A 14,118-nucleotide genomic window follows, 5' to 3' on the forward strand; every position below is an offset into this window, starting at 1 on the left:
TCTCCATATCCCTGCTTTGACTGCTAATCCAGTTCTTTGTTCCCATTTAAGAAAATTTCTTGAAATACATATAAACATAGCATTTCCAATTCCTCACCTCCCATCCTCTCCCGGAGCTTTTATCCATACTGCTCTACCAAGGTCACTAGTGACCTCCGACTTCTGAAATTCAAGTTTTGATTATCACGTCTTACTTGAACTATCTGTAATTATTGACACAGTTGACCACTCTTCCTCCTTGAGACATTTTCTTCACTTGGGTACTAGAACCCCATATTCTCCTAGTTTTCTTTCTTTCCCATTAGCTGTTCCATCTCTGCTACTTTGGTTGGTTGGTCCTGAGCACTTCCAATAGTTCTATGTCGGCATGCTTCACAACTCAATCCTTGATCTCCTCTCTTCTCTATCTATCCTTTCATCCTTGGTGATCTTCAGGTAGTCTCACAGCTTTCGATACGCTCTACATGCTGACAAATTCCAGATTTACGTTTCCAGCCTGGATTTATCTTTTCAACTTCAGACATCTAGCAACCTATTTGAAAAATCCACTTGGACAAATCATACACATCACCCTAAAATATCAAAACTGAACTACTTTTTCTCTAAGCCTGTTCCTCTTACAATTTTCCCTATTTTACTAAAAAGAACTCCATCCTTCCCATTCATGAGGCTCAAAATTTCAGAATCATCCTTTTCTTTTTTCTTTCACTCACATCGTATCTTGGTCCAACAGCAAATCACATTAATTCTACCTTAAAAATGTATCCAAAACCAACCTCTTGGCATTAACACTGCAGTCTAGGCCACATCTTTTGCCTGGATTATTGCAATGACTTCTGACTTATCTTCATATTTCTGCCTTTGCCTTCCTATTGCCTGTTTTCAACCTTGCAGGTATTTTATAATATAAATTAGAGGACAAAACCAACTGCTCAGAGCTCTCCAGAGGCTCCTTTTTCAGAATAAAAGGCAAATCTTTACAATGGTCTACAAGGCCCCAGACAACTTGCACCCCTTTCTCCACCTTGCGTCCCATCTCATTGCTTCCTCTTCTCCTCTGCCTTCAGAGGAGACTGTTCCAGCCACTATAACTGTCTTGCTAATTGTAACACATATCAGACAGACTTCTGCTCCAGAGCAACTGCAGTTTCTGTTTTCTCTACCCAGAATACTCCATCCTCAGATCCCACAGGGCTCACTCGTCCATCTCCTTCTCAATTGGACCTTCTCTAATCTCTTAAACTAAAATTGCAGCCCTCTGGTTTTTGTTCCCACACTCCCTAGTACCCTTTATTTGTTTAATTTTATATATATTTTTAATTTTTCCATAGGTTACTGAGGTTCAGGTGGTATTTGGTTACATAAGTAAGTTTTTTAGTGGTGATTTGTGAGATTTTGGTGTACCCATCACCCAAGCAGTATACACTTCACCATATTTGTAGTCTATCCTTCGCCCCACCTCCGACTCTTCCCCCCAAGTCCCCAAAGTCCATTGTATCATTCTTATGCCTTTGTGTCCTCATAGCTTAGCTCCCACATATCAGTGAGAACATATGATGTTTGATTTTCCATTCCTGAGTTACTTCACTTACAATAATAGCCTCCAATCTCATCCAGGTTACTACAAATGCTGTTAAGTCACTCCTTTTTATGGCTGCATAGTATTCCATCATATATATATATATATATATATATATATATACATACATACATACATATCTCACAGTTTCTTTATCCACTCATTGATTGATGGGCATTTGGGTTGGTTCCATTATTTTGCAATTATGAATTGTGCTGCTATAAACATGTGTGTGTAAGTATCTTTTTCAAGTAATGACTTCTTTTCCTCTGGTTAGATATCCAGTAGTTGGATTGCTGGAACAAATTGTAGTTCTACTTTTAGTTCTTTAAGGAATCTCCACCCTGTTTTCCATAGTGGCCGTACTAGTCTACATTCCCACCAACAGTGTAAGTGTCCCCTGTTCAGCACATCCATGCCAACATCTACTGTTTTTTGATTTTTTTGATTATGGCTATTCTTGCAGGAGTAAGGTGGTATTGCATTGTGGTTTTGATTTGCATTTCCCTGATCATTAGTGATGTTGAGTATGTTTTCATATGTTTGTTGCCCATTTGTATATCTTCTTTTGAGAATTGTGTATTCATATTCTTAGCCCACTTTTTGATAGGCTTGTTCGTTTTATTTCTTACTGATGTGTTTGAGTTTGTTGTAGATTCTGGATATTAGTCCTTTGTCAGATGTATAGATTTTGAAGATTTTCTCCCACTCTGTAGGTTATCTGTTTACTCTGCTGACTGTTCCTTTTGCCATGCAAAAATGATCTTTAGTTTAATTAGGTCTCAGCTATTTATCTTTGTTTTTATTGCATTTGCTTTTGGGTCCTTGGCCATGAAATCCTTGCCTAAGCCAATGTCTAGAAGGGTTTTTCCAATGTTTCTTCTAGAATTTCAGTAGTTTCAGGTCTTAGGTTTAAGCCCTTAATCCATCTTGAGTTGATTTTTGTTTAAGGTGAGAGATGAGGATCTAGTTTCATTCTCCTACATGTGGCTAGCCAATCATCCCAGCACCATTTGTTGAAAAGGATGTCCTTTCCCCACTTTATCTTTTTGTTTGCTTTCTTGAAGATCAGTTGAATGTAAGAATTTGGGTTTATTTCTGGGCTCTCCATTCTGTTCCATTGGTCTATGTGCCTTTTTTTGTGCCAGTACCACACTGTTTTGGTCACTGTGGCCTTATAATGTAGTTTGAAATCAGGCCTAGTACCACTTTCTTGCCTAATTTTTCTCCACAGCACTTACCACATTTAATATACTATATTTAATTTGTTTCTTTGTCTCCTCCACTAGCATGTAAGTCATGAGGGTTGATTTTTTTTTTTTTTTTTGGTCTGTTTTGTCCACTGTTCCATCCTCAGCCAGCATCTATAACAGTGCCTGGCATATGCTTATTTTTATTGGCAATTTGCTAAAAGTACTTCATGATATCATAAAACTGCCTGATTCTGCTGAAAACATAGACAATTTGAATACTGTTTTGATTACAAAACTCAGATTACTTAAAATGTTCAAAATAATTTCAAGGGTTTTTATTTTACCTTGTCTTAGTTGGTTCAAGTTATTTACCACAGTCTATGAAATGCCTGTTAGCATAACTGACTTGCATGATTTACCAGTCTCAAGAGAGTTAGTTAGATTGATAAACACTAAAAAGATTACAGAAGTTCCCTGGAATCATAGTTTGTCCCTCACAGCAGGATTATTCTGTTATTAAGCTGAGAATAATTGCTGTCACCTTTAGCCACTTGGTTTTTATTATAAAACATGCAGAGCAAAGGTGATGTTTTACCAACTTTGAAAATGTACTTTGTTGTTTTAGTCAATTAAAATCGTATTTCCATGCTGAAAAATAATGGCTGAAAAATGTGTGTCATAACCAGACATACAATAGGCCAAACCTGCCCCAAGCATCCTCAGGGCTGTGAGTCATTTGCAGAGATGGCTGAGCTCCTGATCACAAGATGCACAGTGAATGCCATTTTCATTTCCCAGAGACTCCAGAGTAGGAAAAATCTTTATATTCCTTCAGGACTATTAGGTATCTTGTATATATCACAAAGGAACAGGTCAAAATCCATGGAAAAAAAAATATGGAAAACTTTTGTGAATAGGGTCAACATGTCAGTCATAATCACCAAAGGAACCTAAGATTTATTCCTGAATTCCTTTGAAAATGTGCAGATGCTATTAAATATCCATAGATTCCATCCAATATTACAGTGAAATAGGCAAATAGAAAATCCTAAATTGCAAGAGATCTTATATTCTGTCAATGACACATGTTATCAGTGGAATAAAAATGTAATTGGAGAATTTTAACATCTGGTCCTTGAAGCAGTTCAACAGGAATGAGGTGTTGTTTGATGTATTTTAATTAATGAATTATCATAATCAAAGCAAGACAGTATATGAAAGCAGCATAAAGATAGAAGAAGCTATTTCCAAATTCCCATCACATTATTTTTAAGGTTTTTAGTTCTATCTCTGGAAAAATAAGGAAATGTTGCTTACCTGACTAACAGTGGCACCATCTAAGATTATTTTTTTCTTGAGGTGATGCATTTCATAATGTGCTATTTTATTACAAAGAATAAAAATATAGTCAATCCCCTGTATCCTTGGGTTCCACATCATTGGATTCAACCAACCACAAATAAAAAATATTAGAAAAAGTTGCATTTGTGCTGAACATGTACATACTTTTCTTTCTATTATTCCCTAAACAACGCAATGTAACAACTATTTACGTTGTAAATAAAGCATTTACATTGTATCTGTTATTATAAGTAATCTAGAGATAATTTAAAGTGTATGGGAGGATGTGCTCAGGCTATATGCAAATACTACACCATTTTATATCAGGGACTTGAGGATCTGTGGATTTTGGTATCCACAGGAGATCCTGGAACTAGTCCCCCATGATTACCAAGGGATGACTGTATGTTCTATTCAGAAATGAGAACCCACTGCATTTAGTAAAATATAAAGACATGAATAATAGAAACATCTTCTATAAGCAGCACAAAAACCATAGCATAGCATTGCAATGATAGATTAACAACAAAACATAGAACTTTACATTTTCTACTTCTGGGTGAAGTTGCACTGCACATGTGCCCAGTTATATTATTATTGTCGTTCTCTGGGTAATGCGTGAGAAATCATTTTGTAAGCAATGAAAACGTGGTAATTTCCTTGTTACTTCTTAATTTGTGTTTCTAATTTCAGATCTCTTTCCCTTTCCAGAGGAAGTTAGCGATGCCATAGCTTTAATGTCTGTTTTAGCTGTAAAACTCTAATGTTCACTTTCTCTTAGAAAATCTAAAGCAGGTGATACATAATTTCTCACGATTTGGAATTTTTAAAAGGCAAGTAAATTTGAAGGTCGAGTGTGGGTAGGTTAAGGGGAAGTCAGAACACTGGTGATGTTTTCTTGAATAAAAAGAAAACCTTTCATCGTAATGCAATTGTCAACTGCATCACCACCATAATCATTATAGTCTCACTTTCATTCACTTTGTTTAAAATCCAAAAATATTCTGATTTGGATTTTCAACAGGAAGTAAAAAGAAAAAAAAAAAAAGAAATGAAGAGGTCGCAGCTAATCCAGGGATTTAAGCCACTGCGTTGCTGGTCTCAGAAGGAATCTGGTCTGGAAGGAGGAGACCTGAACTAAAGGAGAGGGGGTTCTTGCTCTTAAACTCTTAGAGAAAATCTTTTCACTTGGAAACCTACTTTTTTCCATTCATCCCCACTGGGTAAACTGATGAAATTTAGCCTGGGAATGAGAGGCCTATATTACAAGTTTTTCGCAGTGGTTCTTAATGCTCTTCTATGCGTTTCCTGTTTCATTTTACCTGAGCAAACATCTGCTCCCCTTTACCAAATGAAATTATATGAAAGGATATGGCACAGTGCCAGGCACGTAAGTAGCTGCTCAGTTTTAGTGGAGCACATGGACCTGTAATAATAATAACAATAGTATCATACACACAGTGCAAAGCTTTTTCTGACAAGTCTTAGCTTGCTCTTGTGTGCCCATATCTAGAGTACTGAAGACACAAGTCAGAATCTGTGCAAAACAGACCAGGATCCTCAGGTCTGCATCACTGGGCAGAAGTGGGTGGTTGATAATATTTGCTGGAATAAATAGCAATGAAACACCTGCACTAAGTGAATTCCAATGGCTTATCATGTCAGTTCGTCTCAGAAACATTAGCCTTTTTATGAGTTTTTATTCCACTGACATAGCATATCCTCAAGTTATATTAATTGCATATTAACAGCATAGCTAATAAACTCACATGACATGATGAAATGTTGCAAATATGCTTTGATGGAGCCTAAAGATTAGATCTTTTATGTACTATTTTTTTTTCTGTTGTCATTTGTCAGTAAAAGTGATAAAGAAGGGATTTACTCTCTTTTCTATTTATTTTATTTTCAAAATTTACCTCTGAGAATGTCCCCCCAATAAACATTACTCAAAGGGGTAAAGACATTATAAAAGACCTTTTTATCAAAAGAGTATTCAAAATGATTTGCCAAAGGCAAGAAAGTAGAAAATCTGAGATTTAGCTTTCCCCTTCTGAAAGGTACACTTACAAATTTCTGGTCAGCATGAGATACCCATAGCTTTCACCTGCATATTACTGAAGAAACCAATGATATCCTCTGTACCTCTGGAACATGGCCAGGTCTTTTCCCATTTCCCAATGAACCACCCTCATGATGGCTTTGAGGAGGTGAGTCATACTGAGTAAGCCCCAGGAAAATGGAAGAGGGGTCTATCTACAGGATGGAGTCCCTGAGTGGCTTCTTGGCAACTCTGATTTTGGCAACAGTTGGTCCTCAGAGAGGACATCTCAGACTTTGTGAATGCCTCTCAGGAATCATTTTCAGCCATTTCCAGCCTTTGGATTATGATGCCTGTTGCCTGATTCTGTATCTATTGCCTGACTGTGGCTTAGAGCATATTGATGTATCATCTGTCTCCTACAAGCTCAGGGAATAGTTGAAGGTAAGCGTCTTGTGCTGAAGCAGCATGAGGACTTTATGCTTTACTTTAGTCTATGTGATGACTCGTAAATTCCATATTTACTGAGAGGACAGTAGAATTGTGAAAAGTATATTAAATTTAAATTTCAAAAAGGGAGCCTTCACCTACCCTTCTTTTAATAAAGAGTCTAGAATAGATTGTAGAAATCCCATGCTTCCTTCATTATATATTCCATCATTTTTAGTTTGGTCCTTTTATTCGCTGGTACCTGATTGTATACAATATGGTTCAGAAATTAAACCGTGAAAAAAAGCATAAATTGCAATATACAGCAAAGTACAAAGAGTTAACAAAGTTTACCAGGACCAACATAAAAACACCAATTAGAACATTTCAAATGAAGAAACTGAGTATTAGGGAAAGGGTCAAACCCCAACATTATGGCATGTTTGGATATTCATATGTGCCTACATTAACTTTATATAGTAACACCTTACTTATCTCTAGTTTGCTTGCCAAGCAACTCTCATACCTAGATCCCAGCCAAGGGGTGAGGGAAGTGGAAACTTAGATCAGCCAAAAATTCATGGACAGAAAATCAGGCAATTAGTATTAACAAAACAGTACATGGCACTAGCAAAAACTCCATGAAAAATAATGATCATCTTTTATTATTATTACTAATGATTGCTTATAGCTTTGTTTCACATGCATTCTCTCATTTATTAATATTTATGATAACCCACTGAAGTTGGTTTGTTGATCATACCCATTAAACAGTTGAAGAAAACTGAGGCAGATGAATTAAGTAGCTTGTTTAGGTGGCCAGTGAGTAATGGAATTGGGATTTGTCTGAAGAAGACTGGCTCCAGAGGTTATGCTTCAGTTGTTGTATATTACTGCCTCCTTTATGCATCTTCATGCCAGGCACTCATCGCTCACATGGATATAGTATAGGGACAATTCTCATAAAATTGGCTATCTGGCTTTATAGCTTATAGAAAACAAGTATATTTTGGTCAGAGATGGGGAGTTAAGACAGGTTCCTTGACCCTATCAAAAGATAATGCTTAAAGTCTGATCAACTAATAATGCAAACCATAGAAGTTTTATTGGAGTCATCTTAAATAGAGGTAACATCACAGTGATTGTTTATTCAAATGTTGACCAGGCATCATCCTCTGAATGTTCTGCTACATAGATTATGCCTTAATTGGTTGGAAGAAAACAACTATCCTAGAAATACTGATTATCTAATTTTTTAATGGGGCAAGAGAAATCTATGTGGTCATTAGAAGGGATAAACTTCAATAATTTGAATTATGTGCTTCTTCATGGAGCACCCCATTTTTGATGGTGTTAGGTAATTAGGTGTTACTATTAAAGGCGTATTTATATTTTGGCTGGGTGTGGTGGCTCACACTTGTAATCTCAGCACTTTGAGAGGCTGAGGCAGGAAGATCACTTGAGCCCAGGAATTTGAAATCAGCCTGGGCAACATGGTGAAACCTGGTCTCTACAAAAAATTCAAAAAATTTTGGCCAGACATGGTGGAGGGTGCCTGTGGTCCCAGCTACTCAGGAGGCTGAGGCAGGAGAACTGCTTGAGCCCAGGAGATCAAGGCTGCAGTGAATCATTATCTCACCACTGCACTCCAGCTTGGGCAATAGAGCTGGATCTTGTCTAGGAAGAAAGAAAGAGAGAAAGAGAGAGAGAGAGAGAGAAAGAGAGAGAGAGAATATTTATCAATATGTTTAAAAGATTCCAGATCTAGAAAGTATCCCATTCAGCTTACTTTCCGTAATACTTAGGGCTTAGATTAATGACTGAAGAGTCTTTTGCTTATTAAGCAAACTTTTGATTCACCATTACGCTAGGTAACAAATTTCATTCCTTATATTACCTAAGAAAGGTCTTATCTCTGAACAAATACTCTAGACTGTTGGATTTAAGAATAGATAGATAGTAATAGAACTCCACTTCCTGTATACAAATGTATTTCCTAAACGCACATGAGAATATATGTTAGCAGCCTGAAACCTAAGATTGCAGTGATTCTTATTGCTGCTCATTTCTGTTTAAATCTTTGTTTCCTAATCAGCAAGTAACACTCTAGAAATTAACAATAACATTTATGAAACTATTTCAAGTCCTTTCTCTTATTGGAAACAGATTTGAACCTTTTCTAGCTTCATGCATAGGATGGAACAAAATTTAGGGGGAAAAAAGTTAACAGTGCAAGCCAAATAACTCAGTCATATCAGGGTCATTTTGTTTTCTTTGCTGGTGCTTTGATTCTTCAGACTTTAGCAAGAAAGACCTGTAAGAATGTTGTTTCTACACTTTGGGAGGCTGAGGCTGGCGGATCACCTGAGGTTGGGAGTTCGAGACCAGCCTGGCCAATATGGTGAAACCCCATCTCTACTAAAAATACAAAAATTATCCGGGCATGATGGTGGGCGCCTGTAGTCCCAGCTGCCAAGGAGGCTGAGCCAGGAGAATTGCTCGAACCCGGGAGGTGGAGGATGCAGTGAGCCGAGATCACGCCATTACACTCCAGCCTGGGCGACAGAGCTAGACTCCATCTCACAGAAAACAAACAAAAAAACAAAAAACAAAAAAAAAAGAATGTTGTTTCTAAAACAATTCTCAATATAGCAGTGGAATTTTTGGCTCCAGAACATCAATGTATCTTTTTTATATAAAACAAAACTCCACTGATAATTATCTATTTTGTATTATGTATCTTAAGTGGTATCTTTGTGCAAATAGTATATGCTATTGAATAATTTCTTTACTACCAGAATATCCTTTATAGTTCAGTAAAAACAGAACAATTACTGCTAAAAATAGATTCTCTCAATTTGCAATTGTTTGCCCCATATTTCATATATTTACATTAAGGTTGGTTCATATTTTGTTTTTCTTGTGAGTGGCCAAATATCACAAGTACTACAGAAATGAAGATACCGTGTGACTACTTCTGCTTCTGTTCAGGAGGGACAACCCCTCCCTATGGCTTCACACACTAAGTCCCTCAACTTCCTCCTAGCATACTTCACTGGACACTGCTCCAAGTGCCAACACTCAGGACAAGTTTCTAAGGCTTCCACCTCCAGTTCAGCAATTTCCTGTTATGATGAGGTCAAAGAAAGGTTTTCTGTCCCTGTGAATCTGCAAGTTCTACTATGTCTGTTTATAACTGCAAAGTTAAAGGATGGTAAATAAGACCGAGAATCCAATCAGATACTGTCTGTTCTTTGAAAACATTAAGTGGACATTGAACATCCCCATTGTTAAGACTGGGAAAGAGAGGCAACAAGTCAAGGTAGTGCTCCTATCACTTTATATAGTTTCTTCTATTATCAAAAAGCCTTGCAAAACCCAATTAATTCACATAGGCCACGTGAATTTGGTAGTTATTAACTCTTGAGACAAAACTTAATAACTTAGGTGAGGAAAAGGGAGCCAAAAAAAAAAAAAGAGAGAGAGAGAGAGTAGTGAGAATAGCATGTGGCCAAATATTCAACTCTGTATCTGAAAACTATGTGGGAAAAAGGAAGTCAAATATGAAAAAAAATCTCCAGCTGTTAAATGGCATAAAGAATTGTCATAATAGCTCCGGTCTACAGCTCCCAGCGTGAGCGACGCAGAAGACGGGTGATTTCTGCATTTCCATCTGAGGTACCGGGTTCATCTCACTAGGGAGTGCCAGACAGTGGGCGCAGGCCAGTGGGTGCGTGCACCGTGCGCGAGCCGAAGCAGGGCGAGGCATTGCCTCACCTGGGAAGCGCAAGGGGTCAGGGAGTTCCCTTTCCGAGTCAAAGAAAGGGGTGACGGACGCACCTGGAAAATCGGGTCACTCCCACCCGAATATTGCGCTTTTCAGACCGGCTTAAAAAACGGCGCACCACGAGACTATATCCCACACCTGGCTCGGAGGGTCCTATGCCCACGGAATCTCGCTGATTGCTAGCACAGCAGTCTGAGATCAAACTGCAAGGCGGCAGCGAGGCTGGGGGAGGGGCGCCCGCCATTGCCCAGGCTTGCTTAGGTAAACAAAGCAGCCGGGAAGCTCGAACTGGGTGGAGCCCACCACAGCTCCAGGAGGCCTGCCTGCCACTGTAGGCTCCACCTCTGGGGGCAGGGCACAGACAAACAAAAAGACAGCAGTAACCTCTGCAGACTTAAATGTCCCTGCCTGACAGCTTTGAAGAGAGCAGTGGTTCTCCCAGCACGCAGCTGGAGATCTGAGAACCGGCAGACTGCCTCCTCAAGTGGGTCCCTGACCCCTGACCCCCGAGCAGTCTAACTGGGAGGCACCCCCCAGCAGAGGCACACTGACACCTCACACAGCAGGGTATTCCAACAGACCTGCAGCTGAGGGTCCTGTCTGTTAGAAGGAAAACTAACAGACAGAAAGGACATCCACACCAAAAACCCATCTGTACATCACCATCATCAAAGACCAAAAGTAGATAAAACCACAAAGATGGGGAAAAAAACAGAACAGAAAAACTGGAAACTCTAAAACGCAGAGTGTCTCTCCTCCTCCAAAGGAACGCAGTTCCTCACCAGCAACGGAACAAAGCTGGATGGAGAATGACTTTGATGAGCTGAGAGAAGAAGGCTTCAGACGATCAAATTACTCTGAGCTACGGGAGGACATTCAAACCAAAGGCAAAGCAGTTGAAAACTTTGAAAAAAATTTAGAAGCATGTATAACTAGAATAACCAATACAGAGAAGTGCTTAAAGGAGCTGATGGAGCTGAAAACCAAGGCTCGAGAACTACGTGAAGAATGCAGAAGCCTGAGGAGCCGATGCGATCAACTGGAAGAAAGGGTATCAGCAATGGAAGATGAAATGAATGAAATGAAGCGAGAAGGGAAGTTTAGAGAAAAAAGAATAAAAATAAATGAGCAAAGCCTCCAAGAAATATGGGACTATGTGAAAAGACCAAATCTACGTCTGATTGGTGTACCTGAAAGTGACGGGGAGAATGGAACCAAGTTGGAAAACACTCTGCAGGATATTATCCAGGAGAACTTCCCCAATCTAGCAAGGCAGGCCAACATTCAGATTCAGGAAATACAGAGAACGCCACAAAGATACTCCTCGAGAAGAGCAACTCCAAGACACATAATTGTCAGATTCACCAAAGTTGAAATGAAGGAAAAAATGTTAAGGGCAGCCAGAGAGAAAGGTCGGGTTACCCTCAAAGGGAAGCCCATCAGACTAACAGCGGATCTTTCGGCAGAAACCCTACAAGCCAGAAGAGAGTGGGGGCCAATATTCAACATTCTTAAAGAAAAGAATTTTCAACCCAGAATTTCATATCCAGCCAAACTAAGCTTCATAAGTGAAGGAGAAATAAAATCCTTTACAGACAAGCAAATGCTGAGAGATTTTGTCACCACCAGGCCTGCCCTAAAAGAGCTCCTGAAGGAAGCGCTAAACATGGAAAGGAACAACCGGTACCAGCCGCTGCAAAATCATGCCAAAATGTAAAGACCGTCGAGACTAGGAAGAAACTGCATCAACTAACGAGCAAAATAACCAGCAAACATCATAATGACAGGATCAAATTCACACATAACACTATTAACTTTAAATGTAAATGGACTAAATGCTCCAATTAAAAGACACAGACTGGCAAATTGGATAAAGAGTCAAGACCCATCAGTGTGCTGTATTCAGGAAACCCATCTCACGTGCAGAGACACACATAGGCTCAAAATAAAAGGATGGAGGAAGATCTACCAAGCAAATGGAGAACAAAAAAAGGCAGGGGTTGCAATCCTAGTTTCTGATAAAACAGACTTTAAACCAACAAAGATCAAAAGAGACAAAGAAGGCCATTACATAATGGTAAAGGGATCAATTCAACAAGAAGAGCTAACTATCCTAAATATATATGCACCCAATACAGGAGCACCCAGATTCATAAAGCAAGTCCTGAGTGACCTACAAAGAGACTTAGACTCCCACACATTAATAATGGGAGACTTTAACACCCCACTGTCAACATTAGACAGATCAACGAGACAGAAAGTCAACAAGGATACCCAGGAATTGAACTCAGCTCTGCACCAAGCGGACCTAATAGACATCTGCAGAACTCTCCACCCCAAATCAACAGAATATACATTTTTTTCAGCACCACACCACACCTATTCCAAAATTGACCACATAGTTGGAAGTAAAGCTCTCCTCAGCAAATGTAAAAGAACAGAAATTATAACAAACTATCTCTCAGACCACAGTGCAATCAAACTAGAACTCAGGATTAAGAATCTCACTCAAAGCCGCTCAACTATATGGAAACTGAACAACCTGCTCCTGAATGACTACTGGGTACATAACGAAATGAAGGCAGAAATAAAGATGTTCTTTGAAACCAACGAGAACAAAGACACAACATACCAGAATCTCTGGGACGCATTCAAAGCAGTGTGTAGAGGGAAATTTATAGCACTAAATGCCCACAAGAGAAAGCAGGAAAGATCCAAAATTGACACCCTAACATCACAATTAAAAGAACTAGAAAAGCAAGAACAAACACATTCAAAAGCTAGCAGAAGGCAAGAAATAACTAAAATCAGAGCAGAACTGAAGGAAATAGAGACACAAAAAACCCTTCAAAAAATCAATGAATCCAGGAGCTGGTTTTTTGAAAGGATCAACAAAATTGATAGACCGCTAGCAAGACTAATAAAGAAAAAAAGAGAGAAGAATCAAATAGACACAATAAAAAATGATAAAGGGGATATCACCACCGATCCCACAGAAATACAAACTACCATCAGAGAATACTACAAACACCTCTACACAAATAAACTAGAAAATCTAGAAGAAATGGATAAATTCCTCGACACATACACTCTCCCAAGACTAAACCAGGAAGAAGTTGAATCTCTGAATAGACCAATAACAGGAGCTGAAATTGTGGCAATAATCAATAGCTTACCAACCAAAAAGAGTCCAGGACCAGATGGATTCACAGCCGAATTCTACCAGAGGTACAAGGAGGAACTGGTACCATTCCTTCTGAAACTATTCCAATCAATAGAAAAAGAGGGAATCCTCCCTAACTCATTTTATGAGGCCAGCATCATTCTGATACCAAAGCCGGGCAGAGACACAACCAAAAAAGAGAATTTTAGACCAATATCCTTGATGAACATTGATGCAAAAATCCTCAATAAAATACTGGCAAACCGAATCCAGCAGCACATCAAAAAGCTTATCCACCATGATCAAGTGGGCTTCATCCCTGGGATGCAAGGCTGGTTCAATATACACAAATCAATAAATGTAATCCAGCATATAAACAGAGCCAAAGACAAAAACCACATGATTATCTCAATAGCTGCAGAAAAAAGCCTTTGACAAAATTCAACAACCCTTCATGCTAAAAACTCTCAATAAATTAGGTATTGATGGGACGTATTTCAAAATAATAAGAGCTATCTATGACAAATCCACAGCCAATATCATACTGAATGGGCAAAAACTGGAAGCATTCCCTTTGAAAACTGG

At 38.8% G+C, this 14,118-nt stretch overlaps 1 protein-coding gene and 1 long non-coding RNA gene across 5 annotated transcripts in view, besides 1 other annotated feature; one reads left to right on the plus strand and one right to left on the minus strand.

Annotated features, from left to right (window-relative positions):
- Positions 1-14,118, plus strand: part of PRKG1 (protein kinase cGMP-dependent 1) — a 1,307,463-nt gene that overhangs the window by 1,232,250 nt on the left and 61,095 nt on the right. The gene's annotated exons all lie outside the window — the stretch shown is intronic.
- LOC124902425 (uncharacterized) overlaps positions 1-14,118 on the minus strand; it is a 56,483-nt gene that overhangs the window by 26,103 nt on the left and 16,262 nt on the right. The gene's annotated exons all lie outside the window — the stretch shown is intronic.
- Positions 10,433-11,030: an enhancer, noted in NCBI's record as "NANOG-H3K27ac-H3K4me1 hESC enhancer chr10:53993330-53993927 (GRCh37/hg19 assembly coordinates)". NCBI's record gives its function as "activates a minimal SCP1, AML or CMV promoter by ChIP-STARR-seq in primed H9 embryonic stem cells {active_cell/tissue: H9 hESC(primed)}" and the evidence as "EXISTENCE:reporter gene assay evidence [ECO:0000049][PMID:30033119]".

This window comes from Homo sapiens, chromosome 10 (genome assembly GCF_000001405.40).
Source record: "Homo sapiens chromosome 10, GRCh38.p14 Primary Assembly".
NCBI classification, from domain to species: domain Eukaryota; kingdom Metazoa; phylum Chordata; class Mammalia; order Primates; family Hominidae; genus Homo; species Homo sapiens.